Source organism: Homo sapiens, chromosome 9 (assembly GCF_000001405.40).
Source record: "Homo sapiens chromosome 9, GRCh38.p14 Primary Assembly".
In the NCBI taxonomy this organism is placed as follows: domain Eukaryota; kingdom Metazoa; phylum Chordata; class Mammalia; order Primates; family Hominidae; genus Homo; species Homo sapiens.
Window position 1 is genome coordinate 136,552,036 of NC_000009.12, and position 25,929 is coordinate 136,577,964.

The 25,929-nt window shown below is 58.2% G+C and overlaps 1 long non-coding RNA gene across 1 annotated transcript, besides 12 other annotated features; it reads right to left on the reverse strand.

Moving 5' to 3' along the window:
• Positions 62-131: a silencer, noted in NCBI's record as "silent region_20530". NCBI's record gives its function as "represses an Ori minimal core promoter by ATAC-STARR-seq in GM12878 lymphoblastoid cells {active_cell/tissue: GM12878}" and the evidence as "EXISTENCE:reporter gene assay evidence [ECO:0000049][PMID:35858748]".
• Positions 462-511: an enhancer, noted in NCBI's record as "active region_29316". NCBI's record gives its function as "activates an Ori minimal core promoter by ATAC-STARR-seq in GM12878 lymphoblastoid cells {active_cell/tissue: GM12878}" and the evidence as "EXISTENCE:reporter gene assay evidence [ECO:0000049][PMID:35858748]".
• Positions 11,579-12,439: an enhancer, noted in NCBI's record as "H3K27ac-H3K4me1 hESC enhancer chr9:139458066-139458926 (GRCh37/hg19 assembly coordinates)". NCBI's record gives its function as "activates a minimal SCP1, AML or CMV promoter by ChIP-STARR-seq in naive H9 embryonic stem cells {active_cell/tissue: H9 hESC(naive)}" and the evidence as "EXISTENCE:reporter gene assay evidence [ECO:0000049][PMID:30033119]".
• Positions 12,440-13,301: an enhancer, noted in NCBI's record as "H3K27ac-H3K4me1 hESC enhancer chr9:139458927-139459788 (GRCh37/hg19 assembly coordinates)". NCBI's record gives its function as "activates a minimal SCP1, AML or CMV promoter by ChIP-STARR-seq in naive H9 embryonic stem cells {active_cell/tissue: H9 hESC(naive)}" and the evidence as "EXISTENCE:reporter gene assay evidence [ECO:0000049][PMID:30033119]".
• Positions 16,472-21,860: an enhancer, noted in NCBI's record as "VISTA enhancer hs2207". NCBI's record gives its function as "enhancer in: neural tube[5/6] | hindbrain (rhombencephalon)[5/6] | midbrain (mesencephalon)[5/6]" and the evidence as "EXISTENCE:transgenic organism evidence [ECO:0001131][PMID:17130149]".
• Positions 16,472-21,932: a biological region, named in NCBI's record as "VISTA enhancer hs2207".
• Positions 18,770-19,297: an enhancer, noted in NCBI's record as "H3K27ac-H3K4me1 hESC enhancer chr9:139465257-139465784 (GRCh37/hg19 assembly coordinates)". NCBI's record gives its function as "activates a minimal SCP1, AML or CMV promoter by ChIP-STARR-seq in naive H9 embryonic stem cells {active_cell/tissue: H9 hESC(naive)}" and the evidence as "EXISTENCE:reporter gene assay evidence [ECO:0000049][PMID:30033119]".
• Positions 19,824-20,351: an enhancer, noted in NCBI's record as "NANOG-H3K27ac-H3K4me1 hESC enhancer chr9:139466311-139466838 (GRCh37/hg19 assembly coordinates)". NCBI's record gives its function as "activates a minimal SCP1, AML or CMV promoter by ChIP-STARR-seq in naive H9 embryonic stem cells {active_cell/tissue: H9 hESC(naive)}" and the evidence as "EXISTENCE:reporter gene assay evidence [ECO:0000049][PMID:30033119]".
• Positions 20,352-20,878: an enhancer, noted in NCBI's record as "NANOG-H3K27ac-H3K4me1 hESC enhancer chr9:139466839-139467365 (GRCh37/hg19 assembly coordinates)". NCBI's record gives its function as "activates a minimal SCP1, AML or CMV promoter by ChIP-STARR-seq in naive and primed H9 embryonic stem cells {active_cell/tissue: H9 hESC(naive and primed)}" and the evidence as "EXISTENCE:reporter gene assay evidence [ECO:0000049][PMID:30033119]".
• Positions 20,879-21,405: an enhancer, noted in NCBI's record as "H3K27ac-H3K4me1 hESC enhancer chr9:139467366-139467892 (GRCh37/hg19 assembly coordinates)". NCBI's record gives its function as "activates a minimal SCP1, AML or CMV promoter by ChIP-STARR-seq in primed H9 embryonic stem cells {active_cell/tissue: H9 hESC(primed)}" and the evidence as "EXISTENCE:reporter gene assay evidence [ECO:0000049][PMID:30033119]".
• Positions 21,406-21,932: an enhancer, noted in NCBI's record as "H3K27ac-H3K4me1 hESC enhancer chr9:139467893-139468419 (GRCh37/hg19 assembly coordinates)". NCBI's record gives its function as "activates a minimal SCP1, AML or CMV promoter by ChIP-STARR-seq in primed H9 embryonic stem cells {active_cell/tissue: H9 hESC(primed)}" and the evidence as "EXISTENCE:reporter gene assay evidence [ECO:0000049][PMID:30033119]".
• On the reverse strand, positions 23,517-25,642 carry LOC124902311 (uncharacterized). The gene is made up of 2 exons (XR_007061866.1): positions 25,189-25,642; positions 23,517-23,929 (listed from the first exon to the last, which is right to left on the reverse strand). It is a non-coding gene; the product is annotated as an uncharacterized LOC124902311 (long non-coding RNA).
• Positions 24,595-24,714: an enhancer, noted in NCBI's record as "active region_29317". NCBI's record gives its function as "activates an Ori minimal core promoter by ATAC-STARR-seq in GM12878 lymphoblastoid cells {active_cell/tissue: GM12878}" and the evidence as "EXISTENCE:reporter gene assay evidence [ECO:0000049][PMID:35858748]".
• Positions 25,643-25,929: the final 287 nt, after the last annotated feature.

Below are 25,929 nucleotides of genomic sequence, written 5' to 3' on the forward strand. Positions count from 1 at the left end.
TACTCCCCCCCGCGGACCCCCACGGACCCCCTCTGCAAATGAACATGGGCCTGGAAATCGGGGTGTGGGTTACAGAGAGCACGGGGAATTCTGCTCGTGAAGTAACACGGAGCACGAACATAAGCAGGTACCGCACATCTGCGAGCTATTCGGGTCTCCGGGGGAAGGCAAAAAGCCCCAACAAGCCTTAAGTAAGACCAGGACGCTTCTATAGTTTTGCTTTGACAGCTAAGGAAAAAATCTGCCAAAAACCAGAGGCGCTGCTGAGTGTTGGCGTGGGAATGCTAGTTTAGTCAGAGCCTTGCTCTGGGCCATTTAAATAAAAACAGACATGTTGGTGGCAAATGCCAGTTGAACACGCAGGAGAGCGGTGCTTCTCGGGCCCGGAGAAGGGTTTGCAGCTGCACTCTCTCTTCCCTTTTCTCTTGGCCTCCCCAGCCTTCTTATCATCACGATCAGCATTTCACTGGTAAACATTTGGTGCAATAATTTTCAAAAATCAGCAAGAAAAGTCTGAGCGTTTCATGTGGCTGTGACTGCGTGGCCCCAGCTGGAAGCATGGATTCCCAGCGCCTCCCAGAGCCTGTCTCCGAGGGATACTCTAATCACTTGAGGGCCTTTGCACGACATAAATCAGACCGACTATCTCTAGAGTGGAGAGGGGGATAAACTCACTTGTAGCAAGTGAAGGCCAGAGGCTGCCCTGGGATGGCATTGCCTGTTCCCAGGGGCTTGTGGTGGTGCAGCAGACATGGGGACCCCTGGGCCCCTTCCCCTCCTTGCTGGGGATGCCACACAGACCCACGTTCAGGGACCTGAATTCAGAGCCTGCCCCAGGGGTGGCGAATGTATCTGGGACACTGAGGACCCCCCTACCGGGTGCATCTCATGGCCTTTTGGTCTTTTTTTTTGAGACGGAGTCTCACTTTGTTGCCCAGGCTGGAGTGTCATGGGGCGATCTCCGCTCACTACCACCTCCGCCTCCCGGGTTCAAGCAATTCTCCTGTCTCAGCCTCCGAGTAGCTGGGATTACAGGTATGTGCCACCACGCCAGCTAATTTTTCTATTTTTAATAGAGATAGGGTTTCACCATGTTGGTCAGGCTGGTCTTGAACTCCTAACCTCGGGTGATCTGCCTGCCTTGGCCTCCCGAAGTGTTGGGATTACAGGCGTGAGCCACTGCACCTGGCCAGCCTTTTGGTCTTGAAGGGTCTCTGGGAGGGCCTCAGAGAATGTCTTGGTTTCCTCACTCTTGGGTTCCCATCGACTGAGGTCAGGGCTGGGAAGGGGTGATGAGCCCAGGACTCTTCTGGCGAGAGCGAGGGTCTATGTTGGGGGGCTCCCTTCTGCCACCTCTCCTTGGTGACATGGGGCTGGCTGGAGAGTCCCTCCGTGCCTGGGAGTTCCTCAGTGTAGGGGGGGAAGGGGGCCACTGCAATGAATCTGACACCAGCCCCCTCTCTCTCCGCCCTGCTGGCAGCCCTCACTCATATGGGGGGCGGGTCTGTCCTCCTTTCCCCAAAGCTGGGGGTCCTGAGTGTGGTTGGGGTAACGTCTGGTCCTCCTTAGAACAGTGGGGCTTGGAATTCATTCAAGGGAAGAAGAGTGAAGGAACGCAGATGCCGACTGCATGGAGCCCCCCCGGGCTGCAGCCCCTAGAGCCTGGGCGCTCTGTGAGCCAGAAAGAGAACGGCTGGGGAGAGGGCTGTGTGAGGCCCTGTTCTTCCAAGACCGCTGCGGAGGACCGACGGGGCCCAGGGACCCTGACTGAGGTGTGCCGAGCACAGCAGCTCTGGACAGGCCGCACCGGCCTCTCTGTCTGTCATCTGTCCACCTGTTGGTGGGCAGGAACAGACCTGATGCTGTAAGAAGAGGCCCCCAGGACCCTGCCTCTCCCATTGGCTGAGCCTGGACTGTGGAGCCAGCCGCCCTCACACTGGGCACAGATGACCGACTTAGGTTTTGAGAAGATCCAAACAGCAGCAGGACGTGCACCTGGTAGGGGTAGGAGGGCCTCCCCTGGACTCAAAAGTGTATTCGCGGAGCCCCTTCCCTGCAGCGTAGGCTCTGGGGGGACAGTGGCCAGGACGGAGGCCCTCGTGGAAAGGGGGAGATGTGAACAGTGAGCCTCCTGCATGCAGGCATCTGGGAAAGAACATTCCAGCCAAGTGGCTCTGAGCACACCCCGACCCTGGCCACCCTGGCCCTGTGGACCAACCCTGGGGCCCAGGATTAATGACAGCCAGTGCTCGCTGGTGCCTCCAGCCTGGGCCAGGCCTGTGGGCTGGTCCCTTCAATGATGGGGCAAGCTCAGCCCCGTCCACACCCTTCTCCTCCTCCTCTGTGCTTCCCTCCACCCCCAGGAGTGGGCTCCAGGTCTGTCACTCGTCACTCATGGGGGGCTGTGGGTTGACTCGTATTCCCCCAAAAGACTCGCTGTATACCCCCAGAGCTTGTGAGCAGGACCTGTTTTGGAGATGGGTCTTTGCAGATGTCGTCGAGTTAAGACAAGGCCATGCTGGAGTGGGGCCTGCCCTAATCCAACGACTGGGGCCCTTGGCAGGAGAGGGAGGTTTGGGGAGAAGGCGCTGGGAAGACAGGCAGAGGCTGGAGACAGTGCAGCCCCAAGCTGGGAGCACAGGGGTTGCCGGCACCCAACAGAAGCTGGAGGAGGTGGGAAGGATCCTCCCTAGAGCCTTGGGAGGGGGCCCGGTCCTGTGACACCCAGATTTTGGATTTCTGGCCTTCGGAACTGAGAGAGCACACATTTCTGCGGTTTGAAGCCACCAAATTTTTGGTAATTTGTTCTGGCCAGGAAATTAATACCAGGGATAAAGGTGTTTTAATGCAGACAAAGACAGTTTTTGAATTAACCAAGCTTTGCGCAAGGCTGCCGGGATTGACTGGGGGAAGTGAGGGACTCAGCAGCTTCCCCGACGCTCGCCAGGCACCGGCCTCCATACACGCTTGCTGGCGGTGGCTACGGCAGGTCGCTCTTCAGGTGAAACCACATAATGAGCAGCCTTAAGCCTGTCGATTTACACAGCAGAGGCTGCCTGGCCTGGCGCTCTTCCTGGCTGGAGGACTCTGCCTTCCCCCTCTGCCTGCCTGTGGCCACTCCGGCTGCAGAGGAGACTGGCAGACGACGTTCTCATCCCTGGTCGGGGCAAAAGTTCTGCTCAAATATGACAACGGTGAAACTCGGAATAGCGACAGAGCCAACCCATGATTGAGGCAGGGCTGGAGGCTTTCTGGAAAACGCACGGAGAAACACGAGGGCCCAGCTGTGCCCTGGGCCGCCCCATGAGTCCAGCCTTCTTCGTCCTAGTCCCTTCTCCAAAGAAAGGACAAAACCACTGAAAGGGTTCGTCTGGGTCACAAACGTCCCAAATTGGCTTCCGCGTGGAAACTAAACAAGGGTAGGTCCCAGCCCCTGGGATTCAGGTGAAACCCGAGGCCTGTCTGAGGTCACAGCGTCTTCCCGAGGACGTCAGCCCTGTTGGCTGTGTCTGGGGCCAGGCTGAGGCATAGCGGGCCAGGAGGCCGAGCTTCCCAAAGGAGCTGCACTGTCTTTTCCTTAGAATATGAAATCAATGTCTGCCACCTTGAATCCTCATGGACAAGACTCCTTGGAAGCCAGCCTGTGTCAGGGCCAGCGTCCCCCAGGGCTGACACCTACACCCTCGCATTCTCAGCGTGACTCGGGACAGTGGCAGAACCCGCTGGGTTCTCTCTACGGGAGTGCTTTTTTTTTTTCTTTTCTTTTTTTTTTTTTTTTTTTTTTTTGAGTCGGAGTTTCACTCTTGTTGCCCAGGCTGGAGTACAATGGTGTGATCTCGGCTCACTGCAACCTCCACCTCCTGGGTTCAAGCAGTTCTCCTGTCTCAGCCTCCCGAGTAGCTGGGATTACAGGTGCACACCACCATGCCTGGCTAATTTTTGTATTTTTAGTAGAGATGAGGTTTCACGGTGTTGGCCAAGCTGGTCTCGAACTCCTGACCTCAAGTGATCCACCTGCCTTGGCCTCCCGAAGTGCTGGGATTTCTGGCGTGAGCCACCGCACCCAGCTCGGAGTGCGTTATGACTAGAGGCAAAGACAGCAGCATGATCTTCAGCTTGCAAATGAGACACAGAATGACAATGAATCTTCACCGAAGTTAACTTGAACCTGGATGGATGAGTGGCCGGGTCGCCAAAAAGCTCCTCGGACCCTGCCAGAGTGTGAGCTCTGCCAGGAGGGCCGGGGCTCCAGGATCCCAGGCTGGGCAGTCACTGGCTCCCCCAGGAAGGGCCACATTCCGGTGGGCAGACAGAGGGTTGGGGAGGGTGGTGGGCAGCCAGCCGCCTGGATCCCGGCCGGGGCACCGTCCCGCAGAGCTTGTCCCGCACAGACTCAGTTTCCTAACCCAGCAAGTGGGAGTCCACTGTGAGAAGTCCAGCCCTACGCAGATGCGTGCGAATCCCCTAAGAGCCATGCCTGAGCCCTTGGCGGAAGCAGTTGGCTCCTCGTGTCATGCAAAGGGCGGCATTTTCATTCCTAACAGGGAGGTGGCCCCGGAGCATCCAGTTCAAAGGAGCTAGGATGATCCAGGGTCCTCTCACGTGGGCCTTGGTGAGTGGCCACACCCTCTGAGACCCCCTTTCATCCCCATAGAAAGGTCCTAGCAGGGCTGTGCCAGGGGGATCCGCGGGTGGCAGGGTGGCCCCATCTGCAGTGGGCCCAGGAGGATAGCAACAGGACTTAGCAGTGGTGGGATTGTATTTCTGGGCCCTTCTTCCCCCACAGCCCACAGCCTCCTGACGGGACCCCTCCCCCCAGAACCTGAAGGACGGACCTCAGGTGTGGAGCTCCCTCACCAGACAGAGGGGAGGAGCCCAGGTCCATCTCCTCAAAGGGACCCACCAGCCCCTCACGCGGCTGCACACAAGGCAGTCCCAGCCAGGCCCCAGGTTGAGGCAGACTCAGCCTATGTCCTCAAGAGGCTCCCTGGAGAAGGCAGGACCCAGAAGCTTCTCTCTCGGCTGACATGGCCTTTGCGGGCAGCCTTCCCACCCACATCCCCAGCATGAGCCCCAGCTCCTTGGAGCCCAGAGTCCAAGAAATGGCCTTTCTGCCACTGACCCCTCCCGTGGAATGGCTCCTCCCGAGCAGGGAACCTCTGCTGGGACCCGTCAGCTGCAAGAAGGCCCGTCCCCGAGAGAGCCCTGCAGGGCAAGGGGAGAGGGACCCCGGGGTAGGGGTGGAGAGCAGCTGAGGGGACAGACACAGAGAAGACCAGGCAGGGGCATAGCCTGCTGATGGGGGATGCCATCCTCTCGGTCACAGCTGAGCCAGGGCAGCCTCTAAGCTTCCTAAGTGGGGAAACCAAGGCAGAGAACCCCAGGACTGGGGCCACCGCTGTGGTCAGCCGGTTGGGGGTGGCCTGGGCCTCTCCAGTCTCCACTCTTCCATCCAGCTTCATGGGGAGCAACATTTTTTTCACCTCAAGGCCAAATTAGGAAGAACAAACATGTTTTATTTATCAGTGTCACTTTTTTTTTTTTTTGTTTTAGAGACAGGGGTCTCACTATGTTGCCCAGGTTGGACTTGAATTCCTGGGCTCAAACAATCCTCCTGCCTCAGCCTCCCAAGTTACTAGGACTACAGGTGCACCACTTAGTTACATTTTTTTTATACACGTGAAAACAGCTTTTTTGCTGGGCGCAGTGGCTCACGCCTGTAATCCTAGCCCTTGGGGAGGCCGAGGCAGGTGGATCACCTGAGGTCAGGAGTTCGAGACCAGCCTGGCCAACATGGTGAAACCCCGTCTCTACTAAAAATACAAAAATTAGCTGGGTGTGATGATGGGAGCCTGTAGTCCCATCTACTCAGGAGGCTGAGGCAGGAGAGTGGCATGAACCAGGGAGGCGGAGGTGGCAGTGAGCCGAGATCGCGCCATTGCACTCCAGCCTGGGTGACAGAGTGAAACTCCATCTCAAAAAAAAAAAAAAAAAAGAAAAGAAAAAGAAAGTAGTTTTTTTTCCCCCTATGCTAAAAATTCAAACAAAGCAAACAAGCAAATTTTTAGAGAAGAAAATTCCATTGGCCACAATCTGTAGCAGGGAGAGCTGTTTTTTTTGTTTTGTTTTTGTTTTTTTTTTGAGGCAGAGTCTTGCTCTGTCACCCAGACTGGAATGCAGTGGTGCAATCTCGGCTCACTGTAACCTCTGCCTCCCGGGTTCACGCCATTCTCCTGCTTCAGTCTCCAAAGTAGCTGGGACTACAGGTGCCCGCCACCACGCCCAGCTAATTTTTTGTATTTTTAGTAGAGACGGGATTTCACCGTATTAGCCAGGATGGTCTCAATCTCCTGACCTCATGATCCACCTGCCTTGGCCTCCCAAAGTGCTGGGATTACGGGCGTGAGTCACTGCACCCAGCCTGAGGGCTGTGTTTTAAATGAAACATGCACCTCTTTGCTCCTTGATATGGTTTGGCTCTGTGTACCCCCACCCCCAATCAAGTTGTAATCCCCACATGAAGGAGGGACCTGGTGGAAGGTGATTTAATCATGGAATGGACTTTCCCCTTCGCTGTCTCCCTCTCCTGCTCTGGCCGTGTGAAGACAGAACCCACTTCCCCTTTGCCTTTCGCCATGATTTCCTGAGGCCTCCTCAGCCATCCCTCCTGCACAGCCTGTGGGACTGTGAGCTGATTAAACCTCTTTTCTTCATAAATTACCTAATTCTCAGGTAGTTCTTTATAGCCGTGTGAGAAGAGACTAACACAGAAAATGGTACTGGGAGAGAGGCACTGCTCTAAAGATGCCTGAGAATGTGGAAGCAGCATGGGAACTGGGTCGTGGACAGAGGCTGGGACAGTTCGAAGGGCTCAGAAGAAGACAGGAAGGTGAGGGAAAGTTTGGAACTTCCTAGAGATTTGTTGAATGGTTGTAACCAAAATGCTGATAGCGATACGGACAGTGAAGTCCAGGCTGAGGTGATCTCAGATGGAGATGAGGAACTTATTGGGAAAGGGAGGAAAGGTCACTCTTGCTATGCTCCAGCAAGGAGACAGGCAGCACTGTGCCCCTGCTCTAGGGATCTGTGGAACTTTGAACTTGAGAGAGATGATTTAGGGTATCTGATGGAAGAAATGTCTAGGCAGCAAAGCATTCGAGATGTGGTCTGGCTGCTTCTAAAAGCTTATGTTTATTTGCATAAAGAAGGAAACGACCCAAAATCGGAACTTATGTTTAAAAGTGAAGCAGAACATAAAAGTTTGAAAATTTTGCAGCCTGACTATGCAATTGAAAAGTAAAACCCATTTTCTAGGGAGGAATTCAAGCCTGCAGAAATTTGCATAAGCAAAAAAGAGCCAAATGTTAATCACCAAGACAATGGGGAAAATGTCTCCAGGGCATTTCAGAGACCTTCACAGCAGCCCCTCCCATCACAGGCCTGGAGGCCTGGGAGGGAAAAATGGTTTCATGGGTCAGGCCCAGGGCCCTGCTGCTTTGTGCAGCCTTGGGACATGGCACCCTGCATCCCAGCCACTCTAGCTCCAGCCATGGCTGAAAGGTATACCTCAGACCATTGCTTCAGAGGGTGCAAGCCCCAAGCCTTGGCAGTTTCCATGTGCTGTTGGGCTCACAGATGTGCAGAAAGCAAGCGTTACGGTTTTGGAGCCTCCACCTAGGTTTCAGAGGATGTATGGAAATGCCTGGATGTCCAGACAGAAGTCTGCTGCAGGGGGTGAGCCCTCATGGAGAACCTCTACTAGAACAGTTCGGAGGGAAAATATGGGGTTGGAGCCCCCACACAGAGTCCCCGCTGGGGCACTGCCTAGTGGAGCAGTGAGGAGAGGGCCACTGTCCTCCAGACCCCAGAATGGTAGATCCACTGACAGCTTGCACTGTGTGCCTGGAAAAGCCACAGGTACTCAATGCCAGCTTGTGAAAGCAGCCACAGGGGGCTGTATCCTGCAGAGCCAGAGGGGTGGAGCTGCCCAAGGCCTTGGGATCCCACCCCTTGAGTCAGTGTGGCCTGGATGTGAGACATGGAGTCAAAGGATATTGTTTTGGAGCTTTAAGATTTAATGACTGCTTCAGATCACTTGAAGTCAGGAGTTTGAGATCAGCCTGGCCAATGTGGTGAAACCCCATTTCTACTAAAAATACAAAAATTAGCTGGGCGTGGTGGCAGGTGCCTGTAATCCCAGCTACTCGGGAGGCTGAGGCAAGAGAATTGCTTGAACCCAGGAGGCGGAGGTTGCAGTGAGCCGAGGTCGTGCCATTGCACTCCAGCCTGGGGGACAAGAGCAAGACTTCATCTCAAAAAAAAAACAAAAAACCGTTTAATGACTACCCTACTGGGTTCAGGACATGCATGGGGCCTGTAGGCCCTTTGTTTTGGCCAATTTCTCCCTTTTGAAATGGGAGCATTTACCCAGTGCCTGTACCCACATTGTATCTTGGAAGTAAGTAACTTGTTTTTGATTTTACAGGCTCATAGGCAGAAGGGACTTGTCTTGTCTCAGATGAGACTTTGGACTTTTGAGTTAATGCTGAAATGGGTTAAGATTTGGGGGTCTGTTGAGAAGGCATGATTGTGTTTTGAAATGTGAGAAGGACATGAGATTTGGGAGGGGCCAGGGCTGGAATGATATGGTTTGGTTCTATGTCCCCACCCAAATTTCATGTCAAATTGTAATCCCCACATGTTGAAGGCGTGGCCTGGTGGGCCATGATTGAAGCACGGGATGGACTTCCCCCTTCGCACTCTCTCCTGCTCTGGCCATATGAAAATGGTGCCTGCTTCCTCTTTGCCTTCCACCATGATTGTAAGTTTCCTGAGGCCTCCTCAGCCATGCCTCCTGAACAGCCTGCAGAACTGTGTCAATTAAACTTCTTTTTTCATAAATTACCTAGTCTCAGGTAGTTTTTATTTTTTGAGACAGAGTCTTGCTCTGTCGTCCAGGCTGGAGTGTAGCAGCTTGATCTCGGCTCACTGCAAACTCCACCTCCCAAGTTCAAGCGATTCTCCCGCCTCAGCCTCCTGAGTAGCTGGGATTATAGGTGCTTGCCACCATGCCCAGCTAATTTTTGTATTTTTAGTAGAGACAGGGTTTCACCATGTTGGTCGGGCTGGTCTCGAGCTCCTGACCTCGTGATCTGCCTGCCTTGGCCTCCCAAAGTGCTGGGATTACAGGCTTGAGCTGCTGCGCCCGCCCTTAGGTAGCTCTTTATAGCAGTGTGAGAATGGCCTAATACACTCCTTTACTTTTTAGAGCCCCTAGGAGCAGAGTTAGGGGTAGAAGTGTGTCCTGGGGTCCAGCTCGATCCCTTTCCTCAGCTCACAGGACCCTCTGATGGAGCCTTCCACAAGCCCCACAACCCAGACTGCTGGGCTCGTCATTATGGTTGGAAACCACAGTCATTTTCTTAAAACTTCACTCGGTGCCCATTGCCCCACCAGACTGGGACCTGCAGAGGACAAGGGTTGGGTGGGTGCAGCATGCCAGGGTCAGCATAGACTTAGTGCGGGGATGGGTGGTGAGTCAAGCCGGGGCCCTCCGAGGCAGCACTGGGTCAGCTTTCAGAGCATCGGTCCTGGGACTTTCTCTGTGGCGTCCTCCCGGTGGCCATGCCCTCCAGCCACGGGAACTCTCCCTTGTAGCCCAGGGTACTTGGCATCTCAGGAAGGCCCTGCGTTCCAGGTGGGCCAGGAACCCCTGCACAACTCAGCTGATGGAACCAAGTGGACAGGAGACTAACCCAAGATGCTCTGTGCTCCAAAAGTCACTGAGTCTCTTGAGAACAGCCTTTGACCCAGTGGTGGGGAGGCCCCGTGGCCTGGTCGTGGCCGTGGTCAGATCACCGTGGCCGGGGTGAGTGAGGACGTGTGCTGGACGGTAGCCTTGTTTTCTCTGGACAGTGCTGGAGCTCATCTGGGACTCCACCACCACCCAGTGCTTGCCCGCGACCAGTGGCTCCTGTGAGGAGGGGACCCCGTGGCCCGTGGCTCCCGTGCTCCTGCGTGGACCGCATGCCCTCAGTTCTGGCTTCTCCTGGCCGCCTCGAGTCCCACAGCCGAGAGGGAAGACTCCCGAGAGAGCTCCACCCAGAGGCGCTACTGAGGGCCCACGCTGGCCGCGTGCGACCAAACCCTCCTGAATTGTTCACCTTAGAGCCAGTGTGTGTAGCTCATCTTAATCATTGAGTTTGCATTTGTTTTAGAGTGAAAATATGATTTGCCCCAGGTGAGGCCCAGCTCCGGAATGAATGTGCTGTGCTTTATGCCCAGGACTTGGGCTCTCCCTGGGGTCCAACGGTTGCCCCTGTTGCATCCTCCTCACCCCAGCTTTCCCCCCAAGGCAGGAAGGGACACTGAGGCGGCAGGTCTGGGATGGGCATTAGGACTCGCTTCCTGCCCTGCAGGGCTCCAGAATCACTGGGGAAGCCCGAGGAGAGCTCAGGAGTTGAAATTCAGCCCGTGGAACCGGGATCCTTGATCCTCATATCCACCTGGTCTCTGCCTGAAGCTGGGTGACCTCAGGCAGGTGACACTTCCGCTCTGCACCTTGGGTGCCCTTCTGTGGAATGGACTCACTTTTGGCACCTGTGAGGGGATGAGGTGGGCTCAGTGGGCACTTGGTGCTTGGCCCTGGGCCTGGCTTGTGGTCAGCACTTTCAGTGGACAGCTGTGGTTTGGGGACCCACTGTTCCCCTAACCATCTGCCCACGTGTTTGGACTTCTGGGCCCAGGCTGCCTGGAACAGGGGGGCCTAGGACCTGTGCAGACCCTATCTTCCAGGGGAGTTGCCGACCTGGGGGACATGAGCCATCTTTGCCACACCGTGGGAAGGGATTACCAGGGAGGGAGCCCACATCAGGGTCAGGGAGCCCAAAGAGGGACAGACACAAAGTCCAGGCAGCATTGCCGGAGCCCTGGATCCAGCCACGCCAGGAGCTGCTGTGATTCTGCAAGCGTTCACTGCTTACAAGGCAACTGAACAGTCATCTTCCCCTTTTGACCTCCAGCGACCACCCCTCAAGATCACTGGGAAACTGAGGCCTGAGAGGGAAGGACAGCATTGAAGGTTGTCCAGGAGGTTAGAGCAGACGGGAGGAGAGCCCCGGCCTCCAGGTCTCCTTCCCACGGGAGCCCGCTGGCTGGGTGTGTGGGCCGCCTGCCTGAGCCGCTGCTGTGGGAACCACCCGCTTCCTGAGCTCCCCTGAGCCCCCGCCCGCTGCCAAGCCAGCCTGGGAAAGCCCCTGTGGCGGTGAGCTCGGGGCTCAGAGCAGACCCTTGACCCAAAGCCTGTCACAGCAGACGCCGCATCCTCCCCTTTCCTCCCAGCCCGCGTGGCTAGGCTGGGGTCTGCCCTGCTAGCGGCCTCTGGCCTGGAGCCTTCTCCTGCCTAGGCCCAGCAGTGGGCCCCCCACCAGCATGGACCCTTCTGTAGTCCCTGCGCCCACCTCCTCAGTCCAGAGCCAGCTGGGGCAGGCTGGCCGCACAGCACATTGAGGAGAGGCTGTTGGCTCTATCGGGAAATGGCGACCCGATGTCCTCCCACATGCTGAGCTGCACCCACCCTGCCAGCAGGTGCTTCGGGAGACTCAGAGGTTCCTGGTGGGGTCAGAGGCACCTAGGACCCCAGGGCCAGGCCCTCGTTTCTGTTTACTCCTGGAAGAAGAGAGTTCTTGTCCTCCCTGGCAGGAGCTGGGCTTCAACAAGTCCCCTGAGGGCCCCTGGACCCTGGCAGTCCCTGCGCTGAGCCAGGAGCCGCTGCGGACCAACCAGACCAGGGTCTGACACCTGCCGGGCTGAGTCTGGTTTCTGTTTCTCAGGTCACAGAGGGGTTTGGTGGCTGGCGTGGGGGCCATGGAGCTGGGTTCTCAGGCGACTCTGCTGCGTCCACACTGTTCCCTCAGTCAGCTCCATGTTCTCACCTGTACAGTGGGGCTATGGTGAGACACGCAGCGGGTGGCTGATCAGGTGCGCTCAGCATGAGGCCAGCAGGCAAGACCCCTGCCCAGAAAGCTGTGGGGCCACCTGCCCACCCGACAGGGCCTGGACCATGCCCTCCATGCGAGAGCGAACTGCCCAAAGCAGCTGCCCCGGGACAAATCTCCCCCTCCCTGGCCCCGTCATACCCCAGGCCCTGGGATTTCCAGAGGCCCACGGGCTTGTGGCTCAGAGCTTGGGAAGTGCTCAAGGGGAGGGGCCCAGGACTAGGCAGAAGGGCAGGATTGGGGACAGGGCCGTGGGACTCCTATAGTGACCGCAGGGAGGAGCAGCCCAGGTCACAGCAGAAGGGGCTGAGGAGGGGGGTTGTTGCACGCTGAGGGTGGGTGTGAACCTGACCAGGAGGCAGCTGCCAGCCTCACCTGGGAGGGGCGCCCTGCAGCCACGCCTGGCAGGAGGTCCCTGGAGCCTGCCCGCAGCCTCCTGCCTTGCCCCAGAGGCTGCATTGTCTCCCGCTGGAGAGGCAGGGAGGGCTTCCAGGAAGGGGCACAGCGGGCAGCACCCCAGGCCTGGAGCTAATGCGCTGGCTGCATGAAGGAGCCGGCCCCGACCAGCCCAGCTGCCTGCAGGCCGGGACCTGGGGGCCGAGGCCCAAAATGGAATCTGACAGCTAAGCCCAGCTCAACCAGGTCAGGGCCCACCTCTGGGGTGCAGTAAACAGGAAAGTCCACAGGGGACCAGAGGCTGCCACGAGAAAGGAAAGGGCTGGGCCAGAGGGTTTCACAAGATGTTTCAGATCAGCAGGAAATGGTGACTTCTCACTGTCTGACTCCACTGGCCTTATTGAGCCAGCACTGCGGCCAGCAACCGCGCTGGGTGTGTCTGTGAATTTCAAGGGAGCCCACACGTGGGCGGCAGTCGCCCCGCTGGACTCCCAAGAGGAAGCCCCAGCTCCCAGCCTCACCTCTCACCCCGTCCTAGTGAGGCCCTTCTGCGTGTGCGGTGATTCTGGACCTGCCCAGGCTCCCGGCTGGAGCTGGGCATGAGAAACTGAGGCCCAGCAGGGTCTGGGCTGACCCAAGGGTCCCCGCCTCCCATTGATGGGGCCCCACAAAGAAGCCCCAGGTGTCTCGGCAGGTCCCTGGCCCTTCTGAATCATTCCCCAAAATGTAAAGCTGGCTTTGTGCATCTTCTAGCGTGAGAACTGTTTGAAATTGGGTGGGCCAGGCAGTGTGAGGCCCCGCAAGCGCAGTCCTGGGTTGGGTCAGCCATGCAGCGTGAGGCCCTGCAAGCGGAGTCCTGGGTGGACAGAGCACCGCACTCCCGGCATCTGTGCACGGCCATGCAGGCCCAGCTCCTTTCCGGAGAAGGTCCCGGCTCTGTAGAGGGGTCCTCGCTCTGTTCCAGATGGAGTCCAGATTCCTTCTGACGACCGTGTGTCCTAAGAGGCATAAAATGCTCGCATTTTTGACCTAGTGATTCTCCTTCTGGGAGTTTATCCCGAGGAAATAGCACGAAGCCAGAAAACCTTCCGTGGGAGACGCCCCCGCCCGCGTTATTTATAACCGGGAGAAGCTGGAGCCGGCCCAGATGCAGGGGAGGCCCGGCTGGGAAAACCATCCCGTCTGTCTAATTGAATGATGTGCAGTTGTTAAAAGCAATGCCTGTGGAAAGTTCTAACAACGTGGGAAACACTCATTATGGGATGGGAGGTAGAGACGTGGATGTGTCGGCCGCCAAGGACTCTCAGCCGGCAAAGCAGACCAGGGCTGTGAATTCGAGACCTGCGCGTGTGGGAGGGAGGAGGTGCCCCATGGCCACCCCGGCCGTCCTGCAGGGGAAGAGGTGGTATGGGTTCTGCCAGGTTCCGCCCCGGTCCTGGCCACATGGTGATCTATGGGGGACCCTCTTACCAAAATGAATATGATTTATGGGACTCTATCTTCACCCCAACTCAGAGACTTTCCCCATGAGGCCGCAGGGGTCAGGATTCCAAGGTCTGTCTCTGAGTTTCTGAGTGGGCGGGGTGAGTAGGTGGCAGGGGAGGAGCCAGTTCCCACTGGGGCCAGCAGACCCCCTCCCTAATGGGCAGAGAGTCCCCTTGGGGCCTGCTCCAGCTGTCCTGGGAATGGTTTCCAGGCCCCAGGCCTTTGGGATGCAGCAATGACACCGGCTGTGGGGGTCGCAGCCCCAAAGGGGAGGGAAGAGTCAGTGGCTCCTGGGGAGTCCCGCAGATGCTCCCTCCACATTCCCCGAACCTCCGTCCCTCTCCAATCTATGTGGCTCACCCTTCCCACCCGCTCGGCTGCTGCGAGCCCGCGAGGCCCTTGAGGCCAGGCACAGGGCTGGACGTGGCAGGTGCCCATGAACAAGGAGGGATGAAGACTGAGGCAGGATGGGGCGGGTTGTCAGGGGTCTGATCAGGGGAGGGTGGAACCCCTCCACCAACACCGTGTGCTGACACTGGAGTGAGGCCTAGGCCTCTGGATGGGGAAGGTGGGGGACAAGGACCTGAGCCCCCAAGGGCCAGCGGGTCCCAAGGAGCACAGAGCCCTGGGGTGGGGACAAGGGACCCCTGCCTTCGGCTGAGTCCCTGGACCCCGACCCCGGAAGCACCAGGCCTGGGGCGCAGCCACCTCTGGCCAGCAGCGGCCGGGTCTGCCAGGCCAGAAGGCAACTCAGGACTCAGTGCGGCCGGCACTCTGCCCTCCCCCTAACCAGGGCGGGCCGAGGAGAGGCCTTCGCACCCCAGGTGCACAGGTGGTCCCCGGTGGGCTCTCACGGCAGCAAGGGGTAACAGCAAACGACTGGGCAGCCGAGGGCTCTGCTTCTCTTTTGTCTGACTCGTCATCACAACAGCCCTGTGAGGTGGGTCCACGTTAAAGACCGGGTGAGGAAAAGGCAGAGGCCGGTGGGGCCCAGACCACTCCAGCAGCCACTCAGGCCCCAAGGAGGTCCCGGGACTCCAGGGAGATCTCCTGGGGAGAGGATCTGAGCCTCTGCCAGACCCCAAAGCTGGCGAGCCACGGGAAGGCGGACACGCGGGAAAAAGGCAGATATGCGGGAAGGCGGACGGCCAGGGCTTCTGTCCCTCAGGCTGCCCTGAGCCCCATGCCCCACACTGGCCACTGGCACCCATCCCAGATAGAGCAGCTGGGAACTGACCCGGGCCAGGGAGTGGCCGTGGCTGGGCTTTGTACATCTCCCGGCAAACAATCTGTCCTTTCTACTGAAGACTTGAGTGCGAGGATGATCTACAGCCCCAGGGAGCTGCCTGGGCTTGCGGGGAGGGTCTGCCAGGGCTGGGGGGGGAAGGTCTGCCCGGGCTGTGGGGGGGGGAGGGTATGCCAGGGCTGGGGGGGAGGGTCTGCCAGGGCTGGTGGGGAGGGTCTGCCCGGGCTGGGTGGGGGAGGGTATGCCAGGGCTGGTGGGGGAGGGTCTGCCCGGGCTGTGGGGGGAGGGTCTGCCAGGGCTGGGGGGGGAGGTTTTGCCAGGGCTGGTGGGGAGGGTCTGCCCGGGGGAAGGTTTTGCCAGGGCTGGGGGGGAGGGTCTGCCCGGGCTGTTGGGGGAGGGTCTGCCTGGGCTGTGGGGGGAGGGTCTGCCCGGCCCCCTGTGAATTTCGGGCCTATAAGGTGCCCCGGGTACGGCAGACATTTTTCTCACCATTAATCATTTCCATACCTACATAAGATGCAAACGAGGCGAGGTGAGATGTCTTTCTCCACCCTGCACAGCGGATGGGATGGGCCCAGGCTGGCCTCCCCCAGGCTGCTATGCGTGGGAGGGGCTCCCTCGGCCCTTCCCCAGGTGCTGCAGCCTCTGTCCCTTTCACTGTGCTCAGGGCCACACCAGGCCCCTGAGGCTGGAGAGTGCAGTCTCCGCCTCTCAGAAGGGGCTGGGTGGCAGGACCCTCGGGGAAGCCCTGCTCTGTGACTGCTGATGAGCCCATTCGCCCGCCGCGCCTCAGTCTTCTCTCCTGAAAACCAGGCAGCGCTTCCTTCCTTCAGGGGGGCTGGAAGAGCCCCTGGCTCCCGGGCGGTCCTGGGGACCGGCAGAGGCCCTCAGACCTGAGCACTTCCCTGAGCATGAATGGGAACGACCAGGAACGAAGTCTGACCCAGGCCACGTGCGGAGAAGCCCCGAAAACCCTGTACTCTGTGAGGCAGCAGACACCCAGGCCACACGCGGTCACATTCCATTGCCATGAGACGCCCAGAGCAGGCCAGCCCGGGGATCCGGGTGCAGAGAGCGGATGGGACCAGGGAGGGGGTGATGGCTCCTTAGCGGGTAGGGAGCTCCTTAAAAAACGTTTGGGAGTCAGAGGCAGCGCCACACGACCTCCGGCTGCACCGAATGCCACGGGGCTGTACGGTTTTGATGGATGTGAGTTTCAACTCAATTTGAAAAACAGAAGGGGTGCAGGTCGCCCTCTCTGGGCGGCAGCCCCCACCCCAGCTGGAGGGGAGGTGATCTGCCCACAGGCTGTGGGTGGGGCTCAAACCCGGGTCTCTAACGGCCAATCGAAAGTGCAGAGAAGCCACCCGGACTCAGTTTCCCCTTCCAAAATAGAGGTCTTGTTCTGGGGACCAAGGGCCTGTGTTCCCGAGGGCACCCTTAGAGCAGGAACAGGCTGGAGGAGTCATGGGCGGGGTAGGGAGGGAGAGGGTGGTGGTGGGGGCTGAGTGGGGCCATTCACAGCTCCTTAGGAGGGACAGCCCTCCACCCACATCCGGGGCGGCTGATGGCCTGAGGCTGGGCCTGACCCTGTCCCCAAATAGCTCCTGTCCCCTGCCATGTCCCTGCGGCCCCTCACCCCGGGTACAGGCCTCTGTTCCCCTCCTCTGAGCTGGGGCGGGCAAGGGACCAGGAAGCTGGCCAGGCATGGTCTGGAGCCAGGGCCAGGGCTGAGCTGAGGCCTCTGCTTCCTGTCAGGTCCCAACTAGCACTTGAACCCTGTCTAACACGGTAAGCACAGGCCCTGGACCCCTGTGGTGACCGCCTCAGCCGGGACTGGGAGGGTGTGACACAGCCCCCATCCTGTGTCCTGGCCTGGTTGCCCCAGGCCCTCCTGCTGGAGGCCCAGGAAGATCTGGCGCCGGCCCCTGCACTGTTTGGTCACCATGTTCAAGCCCCTTCCCTCCTCCAGGCCGCTGCTCTCACTTCAGCCGCCTCTTCAGAGAACCTCCCCAGCCCTCACCCCTTCTCCCTGCAAGATAAATCCCCCGGCAGCCCTACCCTCACCTCCACGGACTCCTCCCTGCCCCACCTCGCAGGTGATGACCAACTCTCAGGGGGGTTGGGGGAGCCCAGAGCATGTGGGGGCTTTCACCCACTCGACACCAAGCCCAGGTTCCTGTTGACTGTCCAGGGCTGTATGTGTGCCTCTGTGTGTGCACTTGTGTGTCTGTGCACATGTGTTTGTGTGTGCATGTGTTTGTGTGTACGTGTGTGTGTGCAAGTGTCTGCATGCACGTGTGTATCTGTGTGTGCATATGTCTGTATGCGCATGTGTGTGCACGTGTTTGTGTGTGTGCATGCGTGTGTTTGCGTGTACGTGTGTGTGCATGCATCTGTGTGTGCGTGTGTGTCTCTGAGTGCATCTGTGCCTGTGTGTCTCTGTGTGTGCATGTGTCTGTGTGTATACTGGTGTGTGCCTGTGTGTATCTGTGTGTGCATGTGTGTGTCTCTGTGTGTGTACTGGTGTGTGCATGTATCTGTGCGTGCATGTGTCTGTGTGCATGTGTCTCTGTGTGTGTAGTGGTGTGTGTATGTGTGTGTCTCTGTGTGTACTGGTGTGTGCATCCGTTGGAGCATGTGTGCATGTGTGTGTGTCTGTGTGCACGTGTGTGCACGTGTGTCTGTGTGCATGTGTGCATGTCTGTGTCTCTGTGTGTGTACTGGTGTGTGCATGTGTGTCTCTGTACTGGTGTGTGCATGTGTGTGTCTCTGTGTGTGTACTGGTGTGTGCATCTGTTGGAGCATGCGTGCACGTGTGTGTGTCTGTGTGTACATGTGTGCATTGTGTGTGCAAGTGTGTCTGTGTGCACTGTGTTTGTGTGTACATGTGTCTCTATGTGTGTGTGTATTGTTTGGGTGGGGGTCCCCTGCTTGCTCTCAGCCCTCTCTTGGCCCGACCCTGCATCCCTGGGCCTGACAGCAGGTGGCATTGGCTTGGGCAAGCGGAGGGGAGAGGTGACTTCTGCCCAGGTGCTGCTGGCGCCCTCCTGCCTTCCCAGGCCTGTGGGATGGGAGGCTCAGAGCAGCCCAGAACAGAGAGGAGGGGAGGGCACCCCACACAGGGCATAGGCAGCGAGCTTAGAGCAGACCCTTGGCCCTGGCTGGGCGTGCAGTCACCATGGCACCTGACACAGTCACGCCAGGGTCACACCAGGTCAGCGAGAGGTTCTTGCCACAGACACAGCGTCTCTGGACCTCTGACTCGGGTCCCCAGTCCCTAGCCCTGCTGCTACCCCCAGGTTTTGCTAGGCTGTGCCCGAGATGTGCAGACCTCCTGAACTATCAACCAGGCTGGGCAGTCAGGCCCCGGTCCCCAGCCCGGGATCATTGTCTGCCCCGCCCTTTTGTCCTCTGGCCTCCCTCACCAGGACTGACCCCCATTTTCCCCAGACTTTTTGGTGCCCCCTGCACATCTCTCCTTCCCTTGCTGGGTGGCCCTGCTGGAGCCCTTCGCCCTGTCCCCCAGGGGGCCAGTGGGCTGGCACTGCCCCACCCCGAGATGGAAGGGAAGAGCTGCCCACCCCGAGCTGGGGAATGAGCAGCTCCCGGGCCTCTGGGGGCCCTGGCCAATCCCCTGGCCCCGGCCGGTATGCTGGTTCTCAGTGCCTGGCTGCCGGGGCCAGGGACAAAGGGAAGGGTAGGGCCCTCACCCACTCCCCAGCCTCTCCACAGCCTCCACAGAAAACCTGCTTCCAGGACAGCACGACGCCCCACGGCTGGGACAGACAGGGGACAGACCCCTGTGCCCAGGGCCTCCTGGCTGCCCTGGCCTCCTTTCCCCTAGGTCCTGGCCTCTTCCCTCCTTTGTCCTCCTGAGGCCCCCACAACCCTCCCCTCCCTCGCCTGCCGTCACCCCCGGACAGGTCCCACCTCCCGGCCTTCGCACACAGTTCCTTCTGCCTGGTGTGCGTCTCCTGGGAGCCCGGGAGCCGTGGTGCTGACTCTGGGCCGGCCTCTCCTTCTGACGTTTATCGGCCGCTCACCTCCCACGCCCTGGGAGTCGTTACCACCTCCCCAGTTTCACAGACGGAGACACAGGGAGTCGTTACCACCTCCCCAGTTTCACAGACAGAGAGACAGACACAGAGACAGAGACACAGAGCCCCGACACTCAGAGCTGGGGTCAGTCCCAGGCGGCCTCAGCCACCACACCGCGCCACGCCCTCGGTGAGGATCCAAAGAGCCAACATTCTAGGGGGCTGAAGGGCAGTGTGGGGGCTTCAGGGATATTCCCCACTTGGTCCTTCCTGGCTGTCCCCACTGAGAACAGCCCTTCCTAGTCCCATTTCTGAGTGAGCTGGGGTTCCTGGAGTGAAGGCCATGGCTTCAAATGTAGGCCGGGGCAGCCTCCCCCGGGTTCCTCCTCCCCGTGTGGACAGCTCAAGTCCCTGCAGTCCCCTCCACCCTGGCCCTTCCCTGCTGTCCTGTGGGGTTTGCTGGGGAATCTGAAAGGCCTTGGAGGGAACAGGAACCAGGTCCTAGGAGCCCGCAGGGACTTCTGAGCTGCTGGCAGTCTCCCCACGCTGGCCGAGCTCACAGCCCCAGCGCTGGCCCAGAGTGAAGGTCTGCACGATGGACCCCATGCAGCCGCCCACATGGCCTTCGGCCTGTCGGTCAGGAGGCCTCGCCCTTCTCACGTCCTTAGTGGATTTCCTCCCTTCCTCTGTCCCCTTCTGCCCCATCTCAGCTTCCCATCTCCCCCACGCCCTCCCCACCTTGGGCTGAAAGCAGATACCTTCTCAGGACGGGGTCTCCTGTGCCATTTTACTGCTGAGACCACTGAGGCCAACAGAGTGGCTACAGGGTTGCTGGCAGTTGTAGCCACCCAGGTCAATGGCACTCCCGGGAATTGTGCAGTTTACAACCGGCACCACTGTGCTTGGCAGCTCTTGATGACTCCTACTTGGTGCTTAAACCTGGCCAGTCTCATCTCTCCCTACCCTCTGTGCTGACAGGCTCGAGTGACAGCAAGCGTCAGAGGCTTGGGGGTGCGGGGCCGGCCCCTTGGTGGGCTCTGCCAGCATTCTTGGGATGCCTGTGTCCATTCAGCAGTCAAGGCACTCACTATGCAAACATGCAGGGCCTCACACAATGGTCCCCGCCAGACTTTCCCACCTCCTCTCTACCCCCATTGTCCTTCCCTCTGGGGAAGGGCAGCATAGCCAGGAGGCAGAGACAGAGCCAGTGCCTTTCTGCAGGGCGGGTGTACCCAGAGATGAAGGGCCATGCACATAAGACACTGATGAATGAGGCCAGCGTCCCCAGAAACGCGGCCCTGGAAGCTGCCCCAGCCCAGGCCGGAGGGAGGGGCTGTCCCACCTCCCTGTCCCTCCCGCATCTCTGGACCTGAAGCTCAGACCCTGGGAACTCCCTTCGGGTGGAGGGGGCTGGCTTGTCGGACCTCCCGCCTCAGCGTGGTCCACTCCCTTCCCTCCAGCTCAGTGCAGCCTCCTCTGGGTCTGGCCCCTCACAGCATTGCCCTTGTCACAGGAAATTGTCATCACCCACAGCTTGTCACCCTGTCCCTCTGCCAAGGTCTGAGTTTGAGAGCACAGGGCCTACCTTGCAGGGTTGAGCTCTGTCTGCCCAGTGCAGCAGTGTGGGATGAGTGAATAAGCAACCGGTGGGCCCTTCCCCATGAGGCCCTGCAGGCATGCTGAGTTTCCACCTGCCCTGGGCACCTGTCTCTGCGTTCCGCCCCGCTCTGCGCTCTCTCACCAGCTCTGGACACCAGTGGGCACGGCTCCCTTCTCACCTGCAACGTGGAACTTAGAGACAGTCCCTTATCACAGCCCGAAAACCTCCTTCCTCGGTCTTTTCTTTGCTCGTCGAATATTCTGCTGTGCTGTGTGGCGTGCACAGGCCAGCGATGAGTATGTAGGTTTTTCCTGAGAAGCTAAGGAGCTGCGCTGCAATGACCTCGTCCCCAAGATCACCACAGGCAGCACGACTTCCTCGAAGCAGGGTCAAAGGATTCGTCCTTCTGAGAGATTTTTCCGAGTTGCCCTCTGTAGGGAGTGCAACCACTTACAACACTTGCTGGTCCCTGCCTCCTCCCGGTGCAGACAACACCATGTAATCAAAGCCATGGCCAACCTGATAGGAAACACGCTGTCAGTGCCGTTTTAGTTTGCATTTCTCTCACCAAGAAGGAGGTGGAGGACCAGGCGCGGCGGCTCACGCCTGAAATCCCAGCACTTGGGAGGCCGAGGCAGGCAGATCACCTGAAGTCAGGAGTTCAAGACCAGCCTGGCCAACATGGCGCGGCCCCATCTCTACTAAAAATACAAAAACTAGCCGGGCACGGTGCCACACACCTGTCATCCCAGCTACTTGGGAGGCTGAGACAGGAGAATCGCTTGAACCCGAGAGTTGGAGGTGGCAGTGAGCTGAGATCGCACCACTGCACTCCAGCCTGGGGGACAGAGCGAGACTCTGTCTCACACATACAAAAAAAAAAAAGAGTGGGGGAGCATCTTTTTGCATGTTTATGGAGCATTTGTTTTTCCTTTCGTGTGAATGCTCTGTTCGTATTCTTTGCTTTCCATTTTTTCCCTGTGCTGGATTATAACCTCATTATTGATTTGTTAGAGCTCTTTCTAAATGAGAGAATTCAGCCCTTCGAGGGGGATAGAGTTCACAAGGAATTTCCCCGCTTGCCTAAACAGCAGACTTTGACTTTGCTTAATGTGGTTGTTGCTACGCAGAAATTTTATTTTATGGAGTTGAATTCATTTATTTATGTATTTGAGGCCGAGTCTTGCTGTGTCCCCAGGCTGGAGGGCAGTGGTGTGATCACGGCTCACTGCAGCCTCTGCCTCCTGAGCTCAAGCGATCCTCCCACCTCAGCCTCCTGGGTAACTGAAACCGCAGGCATGTGCCATCACGCCCAGCTAATTTTTGCTTTTTTTTTTTTTTTTGTAAAAACAGGGTTTCTCCATGTTGCCCAGGCTGGTCTCAAACTCCTGAACTCAAACGTCCACCCGCCTCGGTCTCTTAAAGTTCTGGGATTACAGGCATAAGCCATCGCGCCCAGCCTATGGAATTGAATTTATTTTTAAAAATTTATGTGTTGGATTTTTGTATTTTGCATCATGCTTAGGAAGGTCTCGCCTCAAGCTTCTAAAGATGCATCTTCTGTTGCTTTCTAGACTTTGTGGTTTTATTTTTTACATTGAAATCTCAGATCCATCTGAAATTTATTTTGGTATGAGGTGTGAGACATTCAACTTTATTTTTTCTGGATGGCTCCCCGGCTTCCCAGGTGTGGAGGGGTTTTTGAATGATCTGTTTTTATCACTGATTTGACATTCTGTCTTTGTCACATGCCACATTCCTTATCTGTTTGAGTCTGTTTCTGGACTCGGCGCCGTTGGTCTTCGTGCCTATTCTTGTGCCAGTATCACTCTGTTTTAACCACTGTGGGGATTTTTTTGTTTTGTTTTGTTTTTTCTTGAGACGGAGTTTCGCTCTTGTTGCCCAGTCTGGAGTGCAGTGGCGCGATCTCAGCGCACTGTAACCTCCGCCTCCCAGGTTCAAGTGATTCTCCTGCCTCAGCCTTCCAAGTAGCTGGGATTACAGCCATGCGCCACCACCATGCCTGGCTAATTTTTGTAGTTTTTGAGTAGAGGCGGGGTTTCACCATGCTGGCCAGGCTGGTCTTAAACTCCTGACTTCAGGTAATCCGCCCGCCTCGGCCTCCCAAAGTTCTGGGATTACAGGCGTCAGCCACCGCGCCGGGCCACATCCTCCCTTTCCTAACACCCATCTGTGAACAGGCCTCGCTCTGCCACTGCTCGGCCGAGTCTGTCCTCATGAGGCAGCTTTTTGTTTTGTTTTGTTTTGTTTGTTTGTTTGTTTTGAGACAGAGTCTCGCTCTGTCACCCAGGCTGGAGTGCAGTGGTGTGATCTCGGCTCACTGCAACCTCTGCCTCCTCAGTTCAAGCAATTCTCCTGCCACAGCCTCCTGAGTAGCTGGGATTACAGACATGCACCACCACGCCTGGCTAATTTTTGTATTTTTAATGGAGATGGGGTTTCACCATCTTGGCCAGACTGGTCTTGAACTCCTGACCTCAGGTGATCCACCCACCTCAGCCTCCCAAAGTGCCGGGATTACAGGCCTGAGCCACCGCGCCCGGCCCTGATAAGGCTGTTACACCTCAGCGTCCGGGACACAATTTGGTTACTTAGAACATCAGCAACGGAGCTGTGCTGCTCTACAAAGATCTCAGCGATGTCTGATCCAGCCCCCTGTGGTACAGATGGGGAAACTGAGGCACAAAGCAGCAGCGTGATCTGTGGAAGATCACAAAAGGAGACAGGGGGTGTCAGGCACAACCGTCAGCACCGGAGTTTATTGGGCACCTCCGAGGGGCCGGGTGTAGGTGGAGTCCGAGGGGCCAGGTGCAGGTGGAGGACCTGCCGTTGTTGTCTGGTTTTACCCTCTCTCGTAAGGCTGGGCCTGAGTCCTGGCGAGAAGGGCAAGGCGCGGAGAGGCAGTGGACTGGCCTGAGGCCGCACCACCAGCGGGGCGGGGAGGACCAGGTCTGGAGCCGGGAGGTCTACACCTCTGGGGTCTGCTGATCTCCAGCTCTGCTGGCCTGCAGTGTTTTGGCTGCTGGCCTCTGCTGGGAGCTGGGGGAGGGTGGGGTGGCCTGGCAGAGGCCGAGGAGCCCAGCCCCACTTGAATCCAAGGCCGCGTGTCTGCAGGTTGGGGGTATCAGGGAGCAAGTCCAGCCACCTGGAAGAGGAGCCGAGGCAGAGGCTGAGGGTCCAGACAGAGGCCTCCTGCCTGCCCAGCTCTGCCAGTCGCTGTCACACACCGATGCTTGCAGAGACATAACAGGGTGTGGAGGTGACCGGGTGGCCTGGCAGGACCCCCAACAGGCACAGTCACCCGGGATCCGGCAGAGGACACCTTGTCAGGGCAGGCCTTGTGTGCAAAAACAGGTGCCGCGGGCCCAGCCTGCCCAGCCTGCCCAGCCTGGGGCCCGGACTCCACAAGATCTGGGGCTGCACCCAGCCCCCTGCCAGCCCCCTGCCAGCCCCCTGCCAGCCCCCTGCCTTCCCTCCATTTTCACCACCACATGCTTCTCTCTCTCCTCGTTCAGTCTCCCTCCCAAAGCTTCATTCCTGCCCGTTCATCAAGCCGTGTTTGCACATGAGGTGCTGTGCCAGGCCAAGGACCTCACTGCCAGCTGGGCCTGGCAAGGAGAGGGGAACTGACTCATCCTGGGAGCCCAGGGTGGTGGGGCTTTCCCCACTTGGGCCAGGGTAGTGGTGAGGAGGCTGTCTCCGGAGAGGCTGAGGTGAGGGCAGGAGTAGCGAGAAGATTTAGGGTCGTGGCAAGGCTGGCCTAGGCCCTGTGGGGTGGCAGGAGAGGGCAGAGCCCGGGACTCGGGTCCCCACTTCCAGCGGAGGCTGGGCTGTCAGGAGGGCCACACCCTCATCCACTCCTCAGTGCCCCCTCGTCCACTCCAGAGGACACAGTGGTCCCTGCCTCTTGGCCTCCCACCCTTGGCTCACAGCGCTCTGCTGGGAACTCCCCTCACTCCCCTTGAGTAACTGGGGGCCTTTGTTCCCCAGAGCAGTGAGCCAAATGGTGAATGGTGGCCCCCAAGAGCCATGTCCACCTCCCAAGTCCCGGAACCTGCAGATGTGCAGATGGAAACTTGTTTTTTTGTTTGTTTGTTTGTTTGTTTTTGGAGACAGACTCTCACTCTATCCCCCAAGCTGCAGTGCAGTGGCACGATCTCGGCTCACTGCAACCTCCGCCTCCCGGGTTCAAGCGATTCTCATGCCTCAGCTTCCTGAGTAGCTGGGATTACAGGCATCCACCGCCACACCCGGCTAATTTTGGTATTTTTAGTAGAGACGGGGTTTCACCACATTGGCCAGGCTGGTCTTGAACTCCTGACCTCAAGTGATCCGCCCGCCTCGGCCTCCCACAGTGCTGGGATTTCAGGTGTGAGCCGCCGCAAAGCCCAGCTGGAAACTTACTTGGAATTAGGGTCTTCGCAGTTGTGATCGAGGTAGGGATCTCCAGCAGATGATATTATCCTGGAGTACCTGGAAGGGCCCTAAATCCAGTGACAGGTGTCCTTCTAAGAGGTAGAAGAGGAGGCACAGACACAGAGAACAGGAGGCCACTTGGCAGTGGCGTGTGGAAATCTGAGTAGACAGTGGCTGAGGCTTCCCCCGTGCCTGTCGGCCCCATCCAGGCTCCAGGAAGAAGGAGGTGTCTGTCCTTTTCTCTCTCACGCTGTGTCCTCAGCACCTAGAACGTAACAGGTATTTGTCTGCGGATGGACACAAAAAGAGGCGAGACTGGATCAGAGATCCCAGCGAGCAGCGCCCAGGCTCCAGGGCCGGAGGAGCTGCGGGGCTCGGACAAACCCCAGGTGCTGGCGGCATCACCGCGGGCTCCTTTGACTTCAAGACCCATAAGTGTAAGGCCGGGTGCGGTGGCTCACGCCTGTAATCCCAGCACTTTGGGAGGCTGAGGTGGGTGGATCACGAGGTCAGGAGATCGAGACCATCCTGACTAACACGGTGAAACCCCGTCTCTACTAAAAATACAAAAAAATTAGCCGGGCGTGGTTGCGGGTGCCTGTAGTCCCAGCTACTCAGGAGGCTGAGGCAGGAGAATGGCATGAGCCCGGGAGGCGGAGCTTGCAGTGAGCCGAGATCGCGCCACTGCACTCCAGCCTGGGCGACAGAGCGAGACTCCATTTCAAAAAA